The sequence below is a fragment of the Homo sapiens genome, chromosome 7 (assembly GCF_000001405.40).
Source record: "Homo sapiens chromosome 7, GRCh38.p14 Primary Assembly".
NCBI lineage: Eukaryota > Metazoa > Chordata > Mammalia > Primates > Hominidae > Homo > Homo sapiens.
The window spans coordinates 2,221,944-2,242,210 of NC_000007.14; the positions used below are offsets into that span (position 1 = coordinate 2,221,944).

At 53.1% G+C, this 20,267-nt stretch overlaps 2 protein-coding genes across 6 annotated transcripts in view, besides 9 other annotated features; both read right to left on the reverse strand.

Moving 5' to 3' along the window:
* The window catches only part of MAD1L1 (mitotic arrest deficient 1 like 1), a 417,151-nt gene extending 406,149 nt beyond the window's left edge, over window positions 1-11,002 (reverse strand). The window contains exons 1-5 of one of the 5 annotated variants that reach the window (NM_001013837.2): window positions 10,929-11,002; window positions 8,606-8,781; window positions 8,041-8,200; window positions 3,467-3,607; window positions 632-811 (exon numbers count right to left, since the gene is read on the reverse strand). In NM_001013837.2, the coding sequence (NP_001013859.1) occupies window positions 632-811; window positions 3,467-3,607; window positions 8,041-8,190 (471 nt within the window). In that variant the 5' untranslated portion in view covers window positions 8,191-8,200; window positions 8,606-8,781; window positions 10,929-11,002. Of the gene's footprint in view, window positions 1-631; window positions 812-3,466; window positions 3,608-8,040; window positions 8,201-8,605; window positions 8,822-10,928 lie in introns of all 5 variants that reach the window. The other 4 variants (NM_001013836.2, NM_003550.3, NM_001304523.2 and 1 more) reach the window with 4 other exon arrangements.
* Window positions 10,501-10,920: a silencer, noted in NCBI's record as "silent region_17863". NCBI's record gives its function as "represses an Ori minimal core promoter by ATAC-STARR-seq in GM12878 lymphoblastoid cells {active_cell/tissue: GM12878}" and the evidence as "EXISTENCE:reporter gene assay evidence [ECO:0000049][PMID:35858748]".
* Window positions 10,898-11,276: a silencer, noted in NCBI's record as "fragment chr7:2272476-2272854 (GRCh37/hg19 assembly coordinates)". NCBI's record gives its function as "represses an EF-1alpha promoter that drives an FKBP-Casp9 reporter gene in an ReSE screen in phorbol 12-myristate 13-acetate-treated (for megakaryocytic differentiation) K562 erythroleukemia cells {active_cell/tissue: K562(+PMA)}" and the evidence as "EXISTENCE:reporter gene assay evidence [ECO:0000049][PMID:32094911]".
* Window positions 10,911-11,205: an enhancer, noted in NCBI's record as "tiled region #7916; HepG2 Activating DNase unmatched - State 1:Tss, and K562 Activating DNase unmatched - State 1:Tss". NCBI's record gives its function as "activates a minimal TATA promoter and a strong SV40 promoter by Sharpr-MPRA in HepG2 and K562 cells {active_cell/tissue: HepG2 | K562}" and the evidence as "EXISTENCE:reporter gene assay evidence [ECO:0000049][PMID:27701403]".
* Window positions 10,991-11,120: an enhancer, noted in NCBI's record as "active region_25511". NCBI's record gives its function as "activates an Ori minimal core promoter by ATAC-STARR-seq in GM12878 lymphoblastoid cells {active_cell/tissue: GM12878}" and the evidence as "EXISTENCE:reporter gene assay evidence [ECO:0000049][PMID:35858748]".
* Window positions 11,855-12,387: an enhancer, noted in NCBI's record as "H3K4me1 hESC enhancer chr7:2273433-2273965 (GRCh37/hg19 assembly coordinates)". NCBI's record gives its function as "activates a minimal SCP1, AML or CMV promoter by ChIP-STARR-seq in primed H9 embryonic stem cells {active_cell/tissue: H9 hESC(primed)}" and the evidence as "EXISTENCE:reporter gene assay evidence [ECO:0000049][PMID:30033119]".
* On the reverse strand, window positions 12,252-20,262 carry MRM2 (mitochondrial rRNA methyltransferase 2). The gene is made up of 3 exons (NM_013393.3): window positions 20,219-20,262; window positions 17,475-17,764; window positions 12,252-13,621 (listed from the first exon to the last, which is right to left on the reverse strand). Exons 1-3 carry the CDS (start codon window positions 20,224-20,226, stop codon window positions 13,179-13,181), a joined length of 741 nt encoding a protein of 246 aa, NP_037525.1. The 5' UTR covers window positions 20,227-20,262; the 3' UTR covers window positions 12,252-13,178.
* Window positions 14,872-16,071: an enhancer, noted in NCBI's record as "MED14-independent group 3 enhancer chr7:2276450-2277649 (GRCh37/hg19 assembly coordinates)". NCBI's record gives its function as "activates an origin of replication core promoter dependent on BRD2, BRD4, P300/CBP and CDK7 cofactors, and independent of MED14, by STARR-seq in HCT116 cells {active_cell/tissue: HCT116}" and the evidence as "EXISTENCE:reporter gene assay evidence [ECO:0000049][PMID:35650434]".
* Window positions 15,357-15,756: an enhancer, noted in NCBI's record as "active region_25512". NCBI's record gives its function as "activates an Ori minimal core promoter by ATAC-STARR-seq in GM12878 lymphoblastoid cells {active_cell/tissue: GM12878}" and the evidence as "EXISTENCE:reporter gene assay evidence [ECO:0000049][PMID:35858748]".
* Window positions 18,795-19,646: an enhancer, noted in NCBI's record as "H3K27ac-H3K4me1 hESC enhancer chr7:2280373-2281224 (GRCh37/hg19 assembly coordinates)". NCBI's record gives its function as "activates a minimal SCP1, AML or CMV promoter by ChIP-STARR-seq in primed H9 embryonic stem cells {active_cell/tissue: H9 hESC(primed)}" and the evidence as "EXISTENCE:reporter gene assay evidence [ECO:0000049][PMID:30033119]".
* Window positions 19,969-20,188: a silencer, noted in NCBI's record as "silent region_17864". NCBI's record gives its function as "represses an Ori minimal core promoter by ATAC-STARR-seq in GM12878 lymphoblastoid cells {active_cell/tissue: GM12878}" and the evidence as "EXISTENCE:reporter gene assay evidence [ECO:0000049][PMID:35858748]".

Genomic DNA, 20,267 nt, shown 5'->3' on the forward strand with positions numbered 1-20,267 from the left:
AGGGCTGAGGGAAGGGCTACCTGTCGCATACATACATGAGCGAACACAAACACACTAAACGTCCACAAACAACAAAAAACAGATTCATCATCCATTTAAATTCATAATTACAAAGGCAAAAAAGTGCTTAACTTTTTTTTTTTTTTTTGAGACAGAGTCTTGCTGTGTTGCCCAGGCTGGAGTGCAATGGTGTGATCTGAGCTCACTGCAACCTCCACCTCCTGGGTTCAAGCGATTCTCCTGCCTCAGCCTCCCGAGTCCCACAGGCTGGGACTACAGGTGCGCACCACCACGCATGGCTAATTTTTGTATTTTTAGTAGAGATGGGGTTTCACCATGTTGGTCAGGCTGGTCTCCAACTCCCAACCTCAGATGATACACCCACCTCGGCCTCCCAAAGTGCTGGGATTACAGGCGTGAGCCACCGCGCCCGGCCCAAAGTCTCAACTTTTTAACTGAAAACTACAGAATGGAAAATTAATACTTCTACTGATGACAACTATGTACAAAACGCAGCTGCCCGTGTGGGAAGCACAAGTGAAAACACAAGCGGGCACTGCAGTGGCAAACAAGAGCATGCACTCCCTCTCCTCGGGAAAACAGCTCCCTGCGCAGCAGAGGCCCCGCTCACCTCGCCAGCCTGGGCCAGACTGTCCTCTTTCTCACGCAGCCTCTTGCTGGCAGCATCCAAGTTCTGCTGACACTGCCTGTTGCGCTCCAGCTGCTCCTGCATCTTCTCCTCCGCCCCGGCCTCCCGCTCCTGAAGCTGCCGGATGCGCGTCAGGAGCTCCTGGTTGCGGTCGACCTCACGCTGTTAAGAGAGCAAGAGTCAGATGCCACGTGCCGCCCACGGGAGGGTCAGCGGGGAGCCCTCACCCCCACACCTCTCTCAGAACATGCCGAGGCACAAAAAAGAGCCGAGCAGGACCCATGAGCCAAGTCATAGGCAGAACCAGGACGGGACCTGGGACCCAGCCCCAGCGTTGGCACCCCCGCTGTGGCACCATGACGGTGAGCACTGTGCGAGGTCAGGGCTCCCAGGAAGGGCACTTGGCACAGATCACACACACATTTATCACACCGTCTGCTCAGCAGTTGCCTCTGCAGGGAGAGGGGGCATGGGAAATCTAAAATTCAGCATTGACCTTGGGGAGAAGCTGAGCTTTCATAGCACCAGCAAATCCTGTCTAATTACGCTCTGTCCGGCACTGAAAGGAGCTGGCACTCCCCCAGCGAGCAGACAACAGGGGCAGAGACAGGCAGCGTGGACAGGAGGCTGTGGGCAGAAGCAGTTTACACTGGGCTCAAATCTGCCACACATGCACCCCCTCTCACACAAACCACAAACCTCCAGACCCACCCCCCACGACTGGCCTTAGGGAGGCCGCGTGGCTCTCACTGGTTGGGATGGGACATGACCAAGCACCACGCTCAGACCTCCTGACTCTAATGACCCGCAGGCCCTCCAGAGTTCACTGCCAGGTACCGGCGTCCCAGGAGGTGAAGGCGGTGAGTCCTGGTGGAGCCCGGCACTCCGGGACCCTCTCACCCTGCCTTCCTCGGGAAGCACCAAGCACTCCCGGAGCCCCGGGTGGAGTACGAGCTTGTGCTGTCCTCATCCAGGGTACTCCAGCCCAAAACCCAGGAGAGCTGTGACAGAGGTGGCCGCCTTCTGAGAGAGGCTGACCCGCGCACCTCGGAGGGACTCCAGCCCTTGTGAGCTGCAAGGGCTGCCTCACAACAACCAAGAGACCCTTCTGTGATGCAGGACAAGAACTGGGGTTGGCACGGGGCTCCGCTCAGCACCATCACAGCCAGATGCGGCACCGGGCCTGGAACTGCCAGTCCCAGCGCAGACAGGGCAGCCAGCAGGTCTTTGGACTTCAGACACTTAAGTCTCGCCCCTAATAGGTATTTCCAGGTGGAACTCCAAGGAACAATTGGAAAACTACTGGTTCTGACTGTTCCTGGGGTCCCATGCAGCTGTGTCTGCGGGCAAGGAAGGACAGTCCTGTTAGAAGGTGGCTGGAGCTCAGCAGGGAGCCCCAGGTGTAAGCCCAGTCACCTGCATCCTTGGATTTCCCCAAGACAGGGTTCCCGGAGACCCTACAATGACCCCTCCCTCAATCCAACATTTGTGAGCACCCATAAAATGCCATAAGCTGTGCCACACAATGGAGATCCTGGGCAGAGTCGGGTGGGCCCTGCCCTCAGGGACTCTCGGCCTAGAGGAACTCCAACAGCTGCACACTGTCCCTCCTGCCTGACAGCCACAGCCATACCATCAGCATGCTGCCTCCAGACCAATGACCTGGTGGCTCCTCTCCACCCCTAACAAGGGAATCTCAGTAGTTAGGGAGACTCCTGTGGACTCTCCCTCCCCTTCCCACCAATTCCTCCAGTACTGTCCCTCCTAGGACCCACCCAGGCCATGAGCAAACGCCCCACCTCTCAGGGAAAACAGCTCTCAAAGCAGCAACGGAGCCAACCCTGAGGCAGTGGCCCCCACCCCAGCGGTGCCTCAGTCTCACTGAGCCCACACAACGCACACCGCAGTCAGGATCTGCAGGCCAGGGGCAAGCAATCCAACCAGCATCACACCCCGGAAGACGTGAGCTATTTTTCTAGGGCCCAGGAGAGTGTGTGAATACACCGCATGATGTCAGGGCGGGGCTGGACATCCACCCGCCAAGAGAGGGCACGGAGGCCAGGGAGACTTTCCGCCCAATACTCTGCCTGAACCTTGGCAGCATTTCCACAACTGATCAGCACTGACTGAAACCCTGGCAAAGTGCTGTTAATCAGAGCAGAGGGGATCCGCGCACTCAGTGGAAACCTAATTCCCTCCCCAAGGACAGGGTGTTTTCCCTGCTGCCCTGGGGAGCCAGGAGCAACACAGAGCCGCCATTGAGACCGGCACCCTTTGCTAGGGCCCTCCAACCCCAAGACCCAGCATGGACCCGAGACCCTGATCCACCCCATGACCTCCTAAGCCTGTCACTCCTACACCACTTGGCATTTCTGCCAGACCTGCATTCCAATTCTTCCAGAGGGAAGAGGAAACCAGGAGACCCAGCAAAAGAATCTGTGCCAGCACCGCAGCCTCAATGAACAGACACAGCAAGTGTTCCCATTTCATGCCACCCTCCTCTAGGACATCAAGCATAACTGATACCTGCCCCACAGCATGAGTGGCCTCAGAAGGAATGTCCTGGCAACCATGACACAGGGCGTGTCAGGCTTCCAGCCAGCTGGGTTCTCATTTCCTACGGCCTGGCAGGTACCGTGCACAGCCCCCTTGCTCCCAGGGACTGGGATCTGATTTCTTAAGACCTGGCAGGTACCATGCACAGCCCCCTTGCTCCCAGGGACTAGGATGTGATTTCTTATAACCTGGCAGGTACCGTGCACAGCCCCCTTGCTTCCTGGGGCTGTCTGGGCCGACCCTCGCCCCGCCTGAACCCACCTCGTAGTTCCTGGCACTGGTGCTGGCTGCTCTCTCCAGCTCCACTCGAGCCCTCTTGTGACTCAGCTCCATCTGCATTTTCTCCCGCTCCACCTGGATGAGGTGGGACTTCGAACGGATCTGCTCTGCTCTTTCCTCCAGCTGAGCAGGTCGCACCCAAAGAAAAACAGAATCCTCAGTGACGGCATCAAACCAGGTGAGTGACTCAGTGCAGCAGACACACTCCCTGAGGACCCATTCCCGCAGGTCCCGTGCTAAGTCTTGATGTGGCCCAGCCACTGGGCTCCAGGCTGGGGAACAGGGGAGGGGCAGGAAACGGGAAGGTGAAAAAGCCTGGGAAGAGGAAGACGTCTTTTGAGATGACATTAAGCATATTAGTGAAGGCAACGGCCTCGAATGCCACCCATTTATTTACCAGCCAACGGCTCCGTGGGTCGGAAGTCCAGACGTAGGTGGCTGCATTCTCTGACCAGGGTCTCCCAGACTAAAAATCAATGCAGTCGGCCAGGACATGTTCTCACGTGGAGCTCAGAGATGGAGAATGAGGTCTCCTTCCCGACTGGCTGCCAGCCCAGTACAGCCATCAACTCCTAGGTGCTGCCCACATCCCTTGCCACACGGCCCTCTCCATCTCCAAAGTCAACCACGTCCAATCTCCCTCATCAAATCCCTCTCCTGCTATGTCTCTTGACTGCTCGGCCTCGGACGTCTGGACTCAGACTTAAAGGGCTCAGGTGAGTACATCAAGCCCACCAGGGAGTGGATCAAGCCCACCCACGTAATCTCCCTATCTCAAGGTCAACAGATCTTAGACCTTAATTACATCTGCACAATCCCACAGCAATGAAACCTACTCAGTATTGGACTGAAACCTGGGAGGCAGTAGGAAGGTGAGTGTGCACAAGGAGCCTGGAATCTGGGGGCCCTCTCAGAAGCCTGCCTACCACACAGGGTTAGTGATTACAGGTGAGCTGAGCCTCTGGGGGCCCTCTCAGAAGTCTGCCTGCCACACAGGACTAGTGATTACAGGTGAGCTGAGCTCCTGGGGGCCCTCTCAGAAGTCTGCCTACCACACAGGGCTAGTGATTACAGGTTAGCTGAGCCTCAAAGAGCCCCAGAAGACTTGCCAAATAGTTCCAGAGCCGGCCTTTGGGTACGACCTGCTCAGCTGGAGGAAAAGGCAGAGTCACTGACTCTTCACGTGGCCCAGAGCCTTGCAGTGCAGCATCTCCCGGCACTTAACAAATGCAGAGTCGCAGACTACACCCCAGACCTACTCAGTCAGAATCTTCTCTTTAGGTTGGGTGTGGTGGCTCACACCTGTAATCCCAGTACTTTGAGAGGCCAAGGCGGGTGGATCACTTGAGGCCAGGAGTTCAAGACCAGCCTGGCCAACATGGGGAAACCCCGTCTCTACTAAAAATACAAAAATTAGCTGGTCGTGGTGGTACGCACCTGTAACCCCAGCTACTCAGGCTGAGGCAGGAGAATCGCTTGAACCCAGGAGGCGAAGGTTGCAGTGAGCCAAGATCACACCACTGCATTCCAGCCTGGATGACAGGGCAAGAGTTCGTCTCAAAAAAAAAAAAACAAAAGAATCTAGGCCAGGCGTGGTGGCTCACGTCTGTAATCCCAGCAGTTCGGGGGGCCAAGGTGGGTACATAACTTGAGGTCAGGAGTTTGAGACCAGCCTGGCCAACATGGTGAAACCCTGTCTCTACTCAAAACTATGAAAATTAGCCGAGTGTGGTGGTAACGCACCTGTAATCTCAGCTACTCGGGAGGCTGAGGAGGGAGAATCACTTGAACCCAGGAGACGGAGGCTGCAGTGAGCCAACATTGTACCACTGCACTCCAGCCTGGATGACAGAGTAAGACCCTATCTCCAAAAGAAAAAAAGAAACTTCTTTTTAGACACATTCTCAGGGCGTTCACATGCACATGAAAGGTTGAGAAGCACCAGAGTAGAGTGGTGGTTCCCAGTGGGGTCCAGTTTTGCCCCTGGGAACATCTGGCCCTGTCTGGAGACACCTGATTGTCACAGGGGGGTGGTCACATGTGTCTGCTGCTGGCTGGCGTCCAGGGGGTAGAGGCCAGGGAAGTTGTTAAACAGCCCACAATGCACAAGAAAGTCCTGAGAAAAAAGAATTACCCAGCCCAAATGCCAAGCGTGCCAAGGCCAGGAAAGCCTGGGACAGGGGAGGGAAGTTTCTCTGTCCTCCCACCTGTGTTCTCTGGTGGCCCAAGCCCACACTTCCTTTACTCCTATGTTACTGTGTCTCGATTCTCAGCTGCTGCTGTTTGGGCGTTCCTAAGACTGCCCTTCAAACTCAGCAGCCTTCCTGGTCTCACTTCTGTGTCTGCAGTCAAGCCTGAGCCTCTCGAGAAGGGTGGGCACCCCGCCTGCAGGGGGCACGACCGGCAGGGACCAGGAGTCCCAGACACACCTGATCCGTGTGCCACCTCTGCCTGGAGCTGACTACAACGGAAAGAAAGGAACCCTGAAAGTTTACCCTTACGTTAAATCAACACGATGTGTGAGAAACCAGACAGCACACATTCCCCCGGCCTGCCATGTTCTCCAGGCCCTCCCTGCCACGCCGGGGGCTCAGCAGGAGAGAGAGAACCACGACGAAGTCCAGGAATGGGATGTGACAGGGGCCAGGGACCAAGGCTGGTCTTGCCGCCATCACTCCGCTCACCACCTTGCTCTGACTACCGCACTCCATCACTGATCCCCTCACCGAGAGGCCTTTACCAGTGAGCACTGGGGGCCTCCGAGCCCCAAGACAGACTCTAGAATCCCACAGCTTTGACAGACAGGCCAAGAGGTCCCAGACATTCGCAACACTAAAATCACAGCATTTCAGACCAGAGTTGCCAACTCTGTCACCCGGGCTGGAGTGCAGTGGCGCGATGGCTCACTGCAACCTCCGCCTCCCAGGTTCAAGCGATTCTCCTGCCTCAGCCTCCCGAGTAGGTGGGATTACAGGTGCCCACACCCGCCTAATTTTTGTATTTTTAGTAGAGATGAGGTCTTACCATGTTGGTCAGGCTGGTCTCAAATTCCTGACCTCAAGTGATCCAGCCACCTCAGCCTCCCAAAGTGCTGGGGTTATAGGCATGAGCCACTGCAACCAGCTCAGAGTTGGCCACTTCTCATTTTGTCAGTGATAAAAAACAACTACCATCTATTACCTTCATAATTTCACAAAAGAACATTTACATAAATATTATATATATACACACACACATATATATATATATGACCTAATCTCAGAATAAAAAACAGTCCTCATCAAGAAAGGGCAGTGAGCAAGCTAGCAACTAGCATTCTTTTTTTTTTTTTGAGACAGGGTCTCACTCTGTCACCCAGGCTGGAGTGCGGTGGCGCAATCTCAGCTCACTGCAAGCTCTGACTCCCGGGTTCACACCATTCTCCTGCTCCAGCCTCCCGAGTAGCTGGGACTACAGGTGCCACGCCCAGCTAATTTTTTGTATTTTTAGTAGAGACAGGGTTTCACCGTGTTAGCCAGGATGATCTTGATCTCCTGACCTCATGATCCGCCCACCTCAGCCTCCCAAAGTGCTGGGATTACAGGCCTGAGCCACCACATCTGGCCACAAGCTAGCATTCTAATAAACACACATTAATTCAATTATGCAACAAAACAAATGCACACGCACACACAGTTTAACCAAATGCAGCAGGGCCTCATCTGGGCTCTGAGAGCGCAGGAAGCCAGAGCCTCCTCTAATGCGGACAGAACTACAGAACGGCTCTGGGGACCGCAGCAGGGACTGGGAAAGAGGGTCCAGGCAGAGGAGCCTAGAGGAGCCTGCGCAGCCACAGGGCCCAGGCAAGGCTGGAGACACTACTAGCCAGCACTCCACTCCCCACCACTCCCTACAACTTGGGGGCCCCATTATCGCAGCCCCAACTGGGACTGGGCTCATCACTCTTTGGAGCCTGAAGTCCTTCAGGAGGCCTGAATCCTCTGCAGTTGTGTCTACAGTGAGAAACCCCAAGAACTTGTAATGAAACAAAATACAACTATTTTATAGAAGAAAACTGTAAAAATCACCCCAAAATCTGTAAATGGCCCTCCACAGTCTGAGACCACAAAACACCCAGTCCTTCTGCTCACTGCTGTGGCTTTGTCTCTGGGCTGCCCAGGCACTCTCAGCACTGTGTTTCCAACACAGCCTTCCCGACAGTCCTGGTGCTCACTCCCCCAGGCAGTTTGGGTTCTGTCCTCAATTAGATGAATGAACTGGCTTTCCGATCCTGTCACCAGGGTCTGTGAGTGCACTTGTGTGAACGCAATGCTGAGCGCCAGGCCCACTCAGGGCGCTAACAAGGCAGGCCTTTAAGCCAGGATGGCTCAGGGCCCCAACTAGCCTCCAGCTACGACCCCAAAATGAGGAGTGCCCATAGTGAGACCTGGGAGACGAATAGCTGTCTCTAGGCTCTGCTAATACCGACCCACCTCAACTACAGAAGACTGGAAGAGGTCCTGCCCGGGCCCAGGGTCTCCCCAGAGCAGACTCCCACCCAGGCACATGCCACTCACCTGCATGCTCTGCTGGTACTGCATCTGCAGAGAACCTGGGGCCGAGGTAGAAATATCCAGTCCAGAGCCTCCCTCCACACGCTGAGAGATGAAGTTGTTCAAAGATCTCAGGGTGGATAAAACCATGGTGTTTTCCCCCAGGTCTTCCATGGTTGCTTTCCTTCCGGGGACAGACAAAGGACTGGTCAGGGGCAGCCTTTCCACGTGCCATCAGCCGTGCAGTCAGCAGAGCCTCTGGACAGCCCCACTCCCCTAACGCACATTGGAGCTCATAATACACCCATGCCTGTAACCACATTCTTCAATGGCAACTGGGAGCCATGCTGCCAATTTACCAGACAAAAAATGGAAGCAAGGAAGCATGCCACCAAATCCCCACCAGCAAGCCACCAATTGAGTCTCAGTTGCACATGGACAGATGGACAGCTGGCGCCCGGGAGGCGGGGCTCAGCACTCAGGTGGCACGTCCCCCAACTGCACTGTAAGAGGGTTCTCCAGAGACACAGAGCCAACAGGACACAGAGACAGACACAAGAGAAGGGCTTTATTGGGGAAACTGACTCACGCGATTACAGAGACTGTCCCACAACAGGCCGTCTGCAAGTTGGAGCCCTGGAAGCCTGGCAGTGTGACACAGTCCAAGTCTGAAGGCCTCAGAGCCAGGGGTCCGATGGTGTAATTCTCAGTTCGAGGGGCTGCTGGGACAAGTCCTGGAGACCAAAGGCCGGCGAGCTTGGAGTGCTGCTGTTGAGGAGAGGAGAGGAAGAGTGTATCCCAGCTCCTGCAGGCAGATGGACACATTCGCCTTTTCTCTGTTTTTGTCCTCTCCAGGCCCCCAGGCTCTTAGATACTGCCCCTGACTCTGAGGATGGATCTTCAGCACCTGGTCCACTCAGACTCCCAAGCTCATCTCCTCTGGAAACACCCTCAACAGGCACACCCAAAACCAAAAATGATGCTTTCCCAGGTTTCTAGGAATTCCTGAATCCAGTCAGTTGATGCCTGAAACTACCTACCAGGAGCACTCACAGCAAAGTCTGGCCTCTTGCCCAGGCAGGGTGGTTCACGCCTCTAATCCCAGCACTTCGGGAGGCGGAGGCAGGTCCGGAGTTCAAGACCAGAATGGCCAACATGGCAAAACCCCACCTCTAATAAAATACAAAAACTAGCCGGGTGTGGTGGTGTGCGCCTGTAATCCCAGCTACTCAGGAGGCTGTGGCACAAGAATCGCTTGAAACTGGGAGGCAGAGGTTGCAGTGACCTGAGACCGCACCACTGCACTCCAGCCTGGGTAACGGGGTGAGACAGTGTCTCAAAATAAATAAATGAATGAATAAATAAATAAATAAACATAAGCCAGGCACTGTTGCTCATGCCTGTAATCCCAGCACTTTGTGAGGCCAAGATGGGCAGATCACCACAGGTCAGGAGTTCGAGACCAGCCTGGCCAACATGGTGAAACCCCATCTCTACTAAAGCCAGATGTGGTGGCGTGCACCTGTAATCCCAGCTACTCCGGAGGCTGGGACAGGAGATTTTCTTGAACCCAGGAGATGGAGGTTGCAGTGAACTGAGATCGCGCCACTGCATTCCAGCCTGGGTGCCAGAGCAAGACTCCGTTTCAAAAAATAATAATAATTAATTAAAAAAAAAATCTGGCCTCTGGGAATCAGAAACGAGGCATGCAACAGTGACAGTAAAGATGATGATCATCACAGCTGTGCTCATTTTCATTGTTTATTTCTAGTGACATTAATAAGTACTACTACTATTTTCAACTAGGTATCAGAAAGAAAGGTATCTGACATTTCCGAGCACCGAGACTTCTTGAACTTCAGTTTCCTCATCTGTAAACTCATGACAGTGAAATCTACTTGCAAAGTTGTGGGGAACGGGGCCAATATCCCTCAAGTCTTCCACCGCTAGATGATGGGAATACGGCTGCAGGTTGACCAGCACTATATTTGTAAGCTCAGTCTCAACAGGGTGGTGAATTAGGTCTTTTTACACAGATTCTAGAGATGATGAAACCGAAGCTTCAAAAAGTTACAGAACGGAGATTGGAACTTGGGTCTGTCTGGCTTTGGAAGGCTGAAGACAAACCGCAGTAAAGAACTTTGCACCCCCAACACCGGCGCTTACTATGGGCTCATGGCAGGCCGGCCCACCAGCCACAACTAGGGAACAGCCAAGCGCGTTTAAAAGCCAAAGGTAGAACTTCTGCAGCTGCACAGTTTCTGAGTTTCCATTTAACAAGAACCTTGGCCTGGTGCAAGCAGAGGCCTGAGCTCCCCAGGCTGCCAGCCCCGCAGAGGCAGGCCCGCCTGGAAGGAGGCTCCACAGCCCAATTCCTCCATTGCCCAAACGAGATCAGGGTGGCCCTTGCCATCCCCGAGGGGAAACCGGGCCCACACGCCCCCTTCCTGAGAGCGGACCGGCGCGAGCCACCAGGATGCCAAGAGCCCCTGCAGCCCCGACTTCTCCACCAGGCGCCAGCTCAGGCCCCTTCCTCGGCGCGCCGGCACCCTAGCCCGGGGACCCACACGGTAGGCAGCGGGACCCCGGGGCTGGGACCACGAGCACGCGCCCCTCGGCCGCCCGCCCTGGCACAAGGGACGGCTGCGGAGACCCAGGCGAGGGGCCCGCTGTCCCCAGCACAGCCCAAAGGGGGAGTGGGGACAGGGGAGTGGGGAGAGGAGGGGAGAGCACAGAGAGGAGAGCGCGCCCATGGGAGACGGGGCGGGCGCGGGGTCCTGAGGCACGGGGTCTGGGTCGTTGTGCCCCACCCTGGCGAGCACACCCGGTCCGGGCCCTCGGCCCCTCCCTTGCCATTCCCGGGACCCCCGGGACCCCGGGACCCCGCCGCCCGCGCGAGCCGGGCCGCTTACCTCAGCCGCTCGCAGCCAGCTTGCCGCCGCCGCTCGGATCTCCCTCCGCTCCGCCGGCGCCCATTTATCGCGACACTTGCGCCTGCGCTCTCGCGAGACCTGCGTGGCAATCGGGCCGTAAAGAACCGAGTCTGCGCACCGGCTGATCCTGGGGACTCCGCGTCCGCACCCGGAGCCGCCACCCCTGGGAGACTCCGCACGGAAAGGACTCGGAACCGAAGGCTGAGCCAAGGCGCAGTCGGGGGCCCCCCGGCTTTGCGCAGGACGCGCTTCCACTAAGGCTTTCGCCTCGCGCCGTAATGTGTGGAATAGCCGCGCCCACGGCAGCCTCCTCGGACAAACTTGCACCGTTGACTCTTCCCAAAATTTTGCTACTCAGTATCAGCTTGAATCAATCCGTTATTTTGCTTTTTTCTGGGCCCACTAGAAATGCAATTTATGCTACTAGGCTACCTTCCCAGTGCTCTGCAAGCCAGGGCACAGCATCCAATGGGGTGAGGTCAGGCCCCACCATTATTATGGTAACCTTTGTCTATCCTTCAAATTGGAGCCTTCCTGAGAAGAGTGTGCCTTACTCGTTTCCATATTCTCTTCCTCTCCTCCTCCCGTCTCTGCCCAGCCCCTGGCTTCCCTCTAAGAAGATGCTGTTCCTAAGGGTCTGCAATGAATTTTCCTTCTTTCAGAGAAAGACTTCCAAGTTGTGTGCCCCGGGAATGAAATGGAATAAGAGAACGAGGTGGAGTAGGGCAAGAGTCCCTGGACTTAACAACCTGACTGCAACCAGAAATAAAATGAAAAGTCAAAACATCTGGCGGCCGGGCGCGGTGGCTCACGCCTGTAATCCCAGCACTTTGGGAGGCCGAGGCAGGCGGATCACGAGGTCAGGAGATCGAGACCATCCTGGCTAACACGGTGAAACCCCGTCTCTACTGAAAATACAAAAAAAAAAAAAAAAAATAGCCGGGCGTGGTGATGGGCGCCTGTAGTCCCAGCTACTCGGGAGGCTGAGGCCGAATGGCGTGAACCCGGGAAGTGGAGCTTACAGTGAGCCAAGATCACTTCACTGCACTCCAGCCTGGGTGACAGAGTGAGATTCTGTTTCTCAAAGAAAAAAAAAAATCAAAACATCTGACCCGCAGTTTCCTTCGGGGAGCTGGACAGAGCCCCAGATTCCTGATGGAGATTCCTGGGTTTCCAGACTTCCCCCACTGGTCCTTGGAATTTAATCATAGTCAACAAACTCTTCTTGAGGGATGAGTACACCTCCAGGAAATGGCTTTGAGGAAGCCAGTTTAAAAAAAACAAAACTTCAAAGCATGAAAGTACCTTAAAATAATGCAATCTCTATTATTTTATTAAATATAAAGCTGCGTCAAGTTCCTAGATGAGTAAAAGAAAATAAACACACCACATCACTGCTTGCTTTGGCAATTACATTTATGTTCTTGGGAGCCCAGACACTGATATAAATTTCCAGCAAAAACCAAAGCAGACCCACTGCCTGGATAAATTCAGACCATACGTCTTCCCTAATTGTTCCGGGAACTTTTGCTGCTTGAAGAATGCGTGAATTGCTATATTGTTCACCAGAAAGACAGAAGTTAATCCCCAGATGGAAATTTCAGATTTTTCTTTTGGTTTGCTTTTTGGTTTTTCATTTTTGTAGACATGGGGGGTGTTGCTATGTTGCCCAGGTTGGTCTTGAACTCCTGACTTCAAGCAATCCCCCAGCCTCAGCCTTCTAAAGCCCTGGGTTTACAGGCATGAGTGGCCTCACCCAGCCCCCAGATTTTCTACTTTAAACAGCCACACTAAGAACTGGAAATCTGTGCGTGGTGCTCTCAGAGCAGGGGTGGAAAGCCTGTTTGTGTGTGACAGTTTAACAGTCTATAAGATGAAGTCCCGTCAAGGCACACATGGGCACACCCATCCCTGCCTCGGCGGATTCCTTCTGATCCTTCCCACAGTCTGTTTTTCTCCATCCTTCCATCCTCACCTCTTTCTCTTGATAACTTTCTCTTCCCAAATCACAATATAGCGGACTTTTTCATTTTCCATGGCCCCTGAACTTAGTTTTGTCATCTCTTTTTGGTTAAAAAGAGAGAGAGAGAAAGAGAGAGAGAGACTCCCCACTTGTCCTGCTCCATCTCCAAAATCAGCTCAAATCTCCCAGGAACTCTTCAGGAGCTCAGGCTACGTTTCTAGCTTAAAAGGAGCTAATGACCATTATGAAAATGGCACAAGAAATCCTCACTGCTTCACAGTGCCCTTCCTTCCGTGGTACTGTGTGGCCAAGAAGTACACTTCTGATGACTCTTTCCTGCTGGCTTCAGGTTTGATGATCCTTACATTCTGGAATTCCTCTGTCAGTCTCCTCTGTAACCGACGGCTTTGACTTCCAGCCCAGGTTTTACAAAGGAATGTCCCCCCAGGTTGCAGGATGTCTGGGGTCACGCTGAGAAGGGTCAGGCACAGGCTGATGAGCCTGTCATGATCGAGGTCCCGGAACCCTGTGGCATTGGGCGCCATGTCGCTCAGAATCACATCTGCTCTCCTGCCAGGAAGCACCTCGAGGATTCTCTGTGAGGTTCTCGGGTCAGTCACGTCAGCAGGGCACAGAAAAGTTGCTCCTTCCAGGGGGAATATGTGAAGAAGATCTACCCCAAGCACGAAGCCAACAGGAGAGCTGGGATCTATGGAAGAAATGGTGAATGTGTTATTTATTTACACCCTGAATCTTTTTACAAAAATACAGTACATGCAACAAAGTGATGAAATAAAAATAAAATGTCAAGACCAAGGCAAAGAGCTAATGTGCAAATAGGTAAACACAGGCCTTCTCTATCTATACATCCTATAAAGACACATGGTGGAGATGGCGGGCCTTAACATCTGAGAAGCTGAGGCCCAGACAGGAAGTGACTGTCCTAGAGTCATCCTCAGCCATGGGCAGACCTGTGCCAGGCATCAGGACTTCTGATTCCAAATCTGGTATCATTTCACTACCCAAGGCTCACTCTCTGTGAAAGGGTTCTTATCTCTGAGTGCTCTTTTTGATAAACTAAAATAGAAAATAGGCCAGTCCCAGTGGCTCACACCTATAATCCCAGCACTTTGGGAGGCTGACACGGGTGGATCACCTGAGGTCAGGACTTCGAGACCAGCCTGGCCAACATGGGGAAACCCCATCTCTACTAAAAATACAAAAATTAGGCAGGCGTGGTGGCACGTGCCTGTAATCCCAGCTACTCGGGAGGCTAAGATAGGAGAATCGCTTGAACCCGGGAAGCGGAGGTTGCAGTGAGCCAAGATCGCACCACTGCACTCCAGCCTTGGCGACAGAGCGAGACTCGATCTCAAAAGAAAAAGAAAAAGAAAAAGAAAATAATAAACTAGTACATAAAGTGCCTCTGGATTAAATCAAGAAATCCATTCTCCAGCTTAATCCAATTGCTTTCAATGTAGAAACTACTGGAAACAAGTCAAGAGATGAGGAAAATGAACAGATATAAAATAACGTACAAAAACTGATATCGGCTAGGTGTGGTGGCTTACACCTAAAATCCCAGCACTTTGGGAGGCTGAAGCAAGAGGATTACTTGAGCCCAGGAGTTCTAGTCCAGCCTGGGCAACATAGCAAGATCCTGTCTCTACAAAAAAATATAAAAATTAGCTGTAGTCTCAGCTACTCAGGAGACCCAGCTAAAATGAGGCGTGAGGCGTCCCATTTTCCTGGGGTGAAGACTGAGGGGTTTCGCCTTTGAAAAATGAGGTAATCTTCAAAATACCTGGACTTCCAATGTTTACACTAGGAATGAAACACGGTCCCTTTCTCTCCCCCTACCGTTGGAACAGCCTTTCTGTTAAGCAGACTGAACAAGAAAATCTGTGACTGTACCCTTAGCTTATCAACTCTGACAATTTCTCAACAGAACTACGGCCCTCCTCAGTGGAGGGGACTGTTGGGGAGATGGGGGCGTTGGGCTTGTGAAGAGGGGGCTTTGAATGTAGGTACAGAGTGAGAAGAGGGGGAGGCAGATGCTGAGATCAGTTATAGGCAACAAGTCTTGTTTTACGTAAGGTGACACAAAGGCATCTTTTTAGTTTTAGCAAACTGGTGTTACTCAAATATCAGCAAGTTATCTTTGTGTGTCTTTGTGTGTGTGTGTGTGAGACAAGGCCTCACTCCGTTGCACGGCCTCAGCTCACTGCAGCCTTGACTTCCCCAGGTTCGAGCGACCCCTGCCACCTCAGCTTCCCAAGGAGCTAGGACCACAGGAACATGCCACCACACCTGGCTAATTTTTTGTAGAGACGGGGGTTTCACCATATTGCCCAGGCTGGTCTCGAACTCCTGACCTCAGGTGATCCTCCCCTTGGCCTCCCAAAGTACTGGGATTACAGGTGTGAGCCACTGCGCCCGGCCTCACGCCTCACTTTATGCTCCTGAGCTTTCACTCCTATAATATCCAGTATGTTACAACCTTCGGAAATTTCCACCGAAGGCAAACAGCTTTGGCTGCATGCTTGTGACTTCCGGGAGGACAAGCCCAGGCAGATCACGCTCACGCTCTCTCCTTCTGTCACTTCCTCCTACAAGGCACGCTGGGCCACTCTCCTGCTTCATCTCAAGAGCACTTAGGGGAACAGAAACCACTGAAATCAGTTACTAGGAGGACTCCACGGTGATAAGCTCAGCAATGAGAAAAGGAACTGACATTTCCAACACAAATTCACTTATTTAGTCAATAAATGTTGAGCTGAAAAACAATAAAAAGGCTTTCAGGCTGACCACGATGGAAGCACCAGGAAGCACCTCGAGGATGCTGGGAGGCAGAGGCGGGCGGATCACCTGAGGCCTGGAGTTCGAGACCAGCCTGGCCAACATGGCAAAACCTCATCTCTACTAAACATACAAAAATTAGCCGGAAATCACTTAAACACAGGAGGCAAAGATTACAGTGAGCCGAGATGGCGCCATTGCACTCCAGCCTGGGCAACAGAGTGAGGCTCTATAAACAAAAAAAAAAAAAAAAAAAAAAAATGCTGTTGAAAAGCCCGAAGAGGCATATCCCCGCCTAAGTATGGGCAGGGGCCACCCAAGGGGATGCAGGTAGACACCAAGAGTTCATGGCAAACCTACCGCAAACCAGCAGCGAGGCAGATGTGCAGATCCAGGGGGCCAGCATTCCATTTCTGCACTTTCAACAAGTCATGAAACCCTGAGCCTGTTTTCTCACCAATAAATGGGGACCAGTGTCCCTACTCTAAGGTATTTGGGAGAGACTTGGGAGAGCTCTGGGTGGACTGTCTCACCCTGTTCAAATGCCAGTGCATGCAGCTACCCTGGCTTTACAGCAGGAAACATAAATGGCAAGGATATTCACCACAGCACACGCATCCCAGCCAAAAGCCAAAAGCAACCTTGATGCCACAGTGAGGGAGCTGGTTAAAGAACCTACGGTGCAAGCACTACATGGAATAGGATGAAACTTTCCCAATGACGACAGTGTCTTCAGTTGCATGGGCGGTTGGCTGATCTCATTATTCAGGAGAACCTTTTTATATAGAAAATCTTACTCAAAACCCTAAGATACAAAACAGATGAAAACTGTGTCTCAGCTTCATCCAGAGCAAAGAATCCATAGCCCTGGCCATGAAGCCTCTTCTAGGTTCCGGACGGAGCAGCCCCAGTGGGGCCACCAGGAAAGCCCCAGGGCTTATGCGACTTGGAAATTTAGCTGTGCTGTTGGGGAAAGATGTCAATACATCATTAAGAGTAGCCGGGCACCATGGCTCACATCTGTAATCCCAGCACTTTGGGAGGCCGAGGTGGGCAGATCACCTGAGGTCAAGAGTTCGAGATCAGCCTAGCCAACATAGTGAAACCCTATCTCTACTTAAAAAAACAAAAAGAAAAAATTAGCTGGGTGCGGTGGCGGGCGCCTGTAATCCCAGCTACTTGGGAGGCTGAGGCAGGAGAATCGCTTGAACCAGGTAGGCAGAGGTTGCAGTGAGCCGAGATCACACCATTGCACTGCAGCCTGGGCAAGAGTGAGACTCCATCTGGAGGGGGGGGAAGAACAAAAATAATAACAATAATAATTATATATATATATATATATATATATATATATATATATATATATATATATATAATACATATATGTATGTATCATTAAGCAAAAATAGCTCCAATAGGCTGCAAATTAGCAAGAAAAGTATGGCACAACATCGCTTTTGAAAATGTGAGGGATCTATGCATGCACAAGCCTGGAAGGATGCACACCACCATGCTGGTGCTGGTACCTGCGGGCGGTCTCATGCGAGGTGATTTCCATGTTCACTGCACCTTTCTACCTTGTCTTTCATTTTGAAAATGGCAGCATCCTATTTTTATCATCACCATTGCTAAACCACCCACTCGGAAGCACACGCCTTCAAAAAAGGGCTCCACCATCCCGCATCCACTGGCAAAGGCAGCTTGCCCATGCCCACTCAGCCTCAGGGGAGCCAGAAGGTGCCAACAGCAGTGCAGAGGCCCACCTGTGCCTGCGGCGTTGACCTTCTGCACCGCCACCTGACTCCAGGCCCCAGGAGCTGCCCCACAGTCTAACACCCGAAGGCCGGGCCGCAGAATCTGGTGCCTCTCGTTCACCTCCAGGAGCTTGAAGGCGCTTCGACACCGGTAACTCTCCACCTTCGCAGCCTTCACAAATGGGTCCCTGAGATGTCGGGTCAGCCACAGGTGCTCAGCGCCTGTCCGATTCTTGCAGCGACTCCCAACAGTGTGGAACCCTTGACGCTGAAAGGAAACACACACCAGCTTCAAGTACCTGGTGGGAGAGAAGAGGAGCAGGCAGGTTGGCATCACACAGAACGGCAGGTCATGAGCTGGGAGGGCCCTCGGATCAACTCATTCATTTCTAGAGATGGGGCACCAAGGCCCAGGAGGGGAGGTGAACTGATAAGGCTACACAGATGGAAAGCAGGCATCACAGGCCAAACTGTGTCCCCGCAAAATTAATGTGTTGATGTCCTAACCCTTGGTACCTCAGAATATGGGGGTATTCGGAGACACCTGTAATTCCAGCACTTTTGGAGGCCAAGACAGGTGGATCCCCTGAGGTCAGGATTTCGAGACCAGCCTGGCCAACCGTGGCCAACATGATGAAACCCCGTCTCTACTAAAATGCAAAAATTAGCCTGGCGTGGTGGCAGATGCCTATAAACCCAGCTACTCGGGAGGCTGAAGCAGGAGAATCGCCTGAACCCAGGAGGCAGAGGTTGCAGTGAGCCGAGATTGCGCCACTGCACTCCAGCCTGGGCGACAGAGCGAGACTCTGTCTCAAACAATAACTAAATACATCAATTAATTAATTAAAGTAATATTATTTTCTCATCTGGCAAAAATGTTCATTGGGCTCTGACAGGCTGCAAGAAAACCTCATAAGGACAGATCCTTGCCTTAGTGACCTAGTTCCAGGGCTTTGACAGCTAGTACAGAGGGTCTGGCCTGTCACATTTCTTTTTTTCTTCTTTTTTTCGAGACAGGGTCTCGCTCTATAGCCCAGGCTGGAGTGCAGTGGTGAGGTCACGGTTCAACGCAGATTCGAACTCCTGGGCTCAAACAATCCTCTCACCTACATGTCTTAAATAAAATTGAACTAAACCTGTGTCAATCGTTGAAGGACAATTTCCAAGATTCTCTAGACAATTGTTACAATAAATGTAACAATTTATTCACAGCCCACAATAGCTAAGCAGGTGGAAGCTATACACACCTCCCCTTGTTTAACTCTGACAACAACCTCACCAAGGAAGTTCTATGTCCTCTTTTTCTTTTTTTAAGACGGAGTCTCACTCTGGCGCCCAGGCTGGAGTGCAGTGACAGCTCACTGCAGCCTCCGACTCCCGGGTTCAAGCAATTCTCCTGCCCCAGCCTCCCAAGTAGCTGGGATTACAGGCACACCTGCTACCATGTCCGGCTAATGTTTGTATTTTCAGTATAGATGGGTTCCACCATGTTGGCCAGGCTGGTCTCAAACTCCTGACCTCCGCTGATCTGCCCGCCTTGGCCTCCCAAAGTGCTGGGATTACAGGTGTAAGCCACTGCACCCAGGCATTTCTTTCTTCTTTTTGTTTTTTTAGAGACAGGGTTTTACTATTACCCAGGCTGGAGTGCAGTGGCATGATCACAGCTGACTGCAGCCACAGCCTCTGGGGCTCAAGTGAACCTCCCACCTCAGCCTCCTGAGTAGCTGAGACTACAGGTGTGTGCCACCACTTCCGGCTAATTTTTCTATTTTCAGTAGAGATGGGATTTCACCATGTTGGCCGAGCTGGTCTCGAACTCCTGACCTCTGGCGATCAGCCCACCTTGGCCTCCCAAAGTGCTGGGATTACAGGCGTGAACCACCTCACCCGGCCATTTTTGTTTTGCTATCATCCAGGCTGGAGTTGCAGTGGCACAATCACAGCTGATTGCTGCCATAACCTCTGGGTCTCAAGTGAACCTCCCACCTCAGCCTCCTGAGTAGCTGGGACTACAGGTGTGCACCACCATGCCTGGGCTAATTTTTTTTTTTTTTTTAATTCTTAAAAACCTTTTTTAGAGATGGCATCTCACTACATTGCCTAGGCTGGTCTCGAACTCCTAGGCTCAAACGATCCTCCTGCCTCAGACTTCCAAAGTGCTGGGATGACAGGTGTGGGCCACCAAGCCCGGTCTCTATGTCCATCTTTCTGATTTAAATAAATAAATAAAAGTTACCACCCTCATGGCTCCAAGGCCAAAGCTTCTAGCTTCTGCAACACCAAAGCGTGCTGACAAGCCAGGAGGCACTGACTGCTGACCGTGAGTCGCTGTCTTCCCCTCGCTTAAGGGGTCTCCCGGGAAAATGGCACAAGCCGGTCCCGGGGGCCAGGGCCCACTCGACAGCCCAGGAAGCGCGGGCAATGGAGCTACCCGGCCCAGAAGCGAAATCCCGCCCCGGGCTCGCCCCCGGCGCCTTGGATCTGGGCCCCGGCGCTGCGCCCCCCACCTGGACTCCGCCGCCGGCCCCGGCCTCCCCACGGCCCCGCCGGCCCTGCCCCTGGAGACCTGAGGGCGCCCTCCTCCCGGGGAACTGCGACCCGGAATCCTGGCCTCGCCCCTGTCGCGCTCGCTGAGTGCGGGGACGGTGCCCAGCGCTCGGCACCCAGCCCCGAGGCCAGGACCGAGGAAGGCGACCGGGCGGACCCCCAACCACTCCCGCTGTCTGCACGCGCAGCAGCAGCGCCCAGCTCACCCCGCCATTGGTGTTCCCCGCGCCTGCAGCGCGCCGCCGGAAGTGCCTG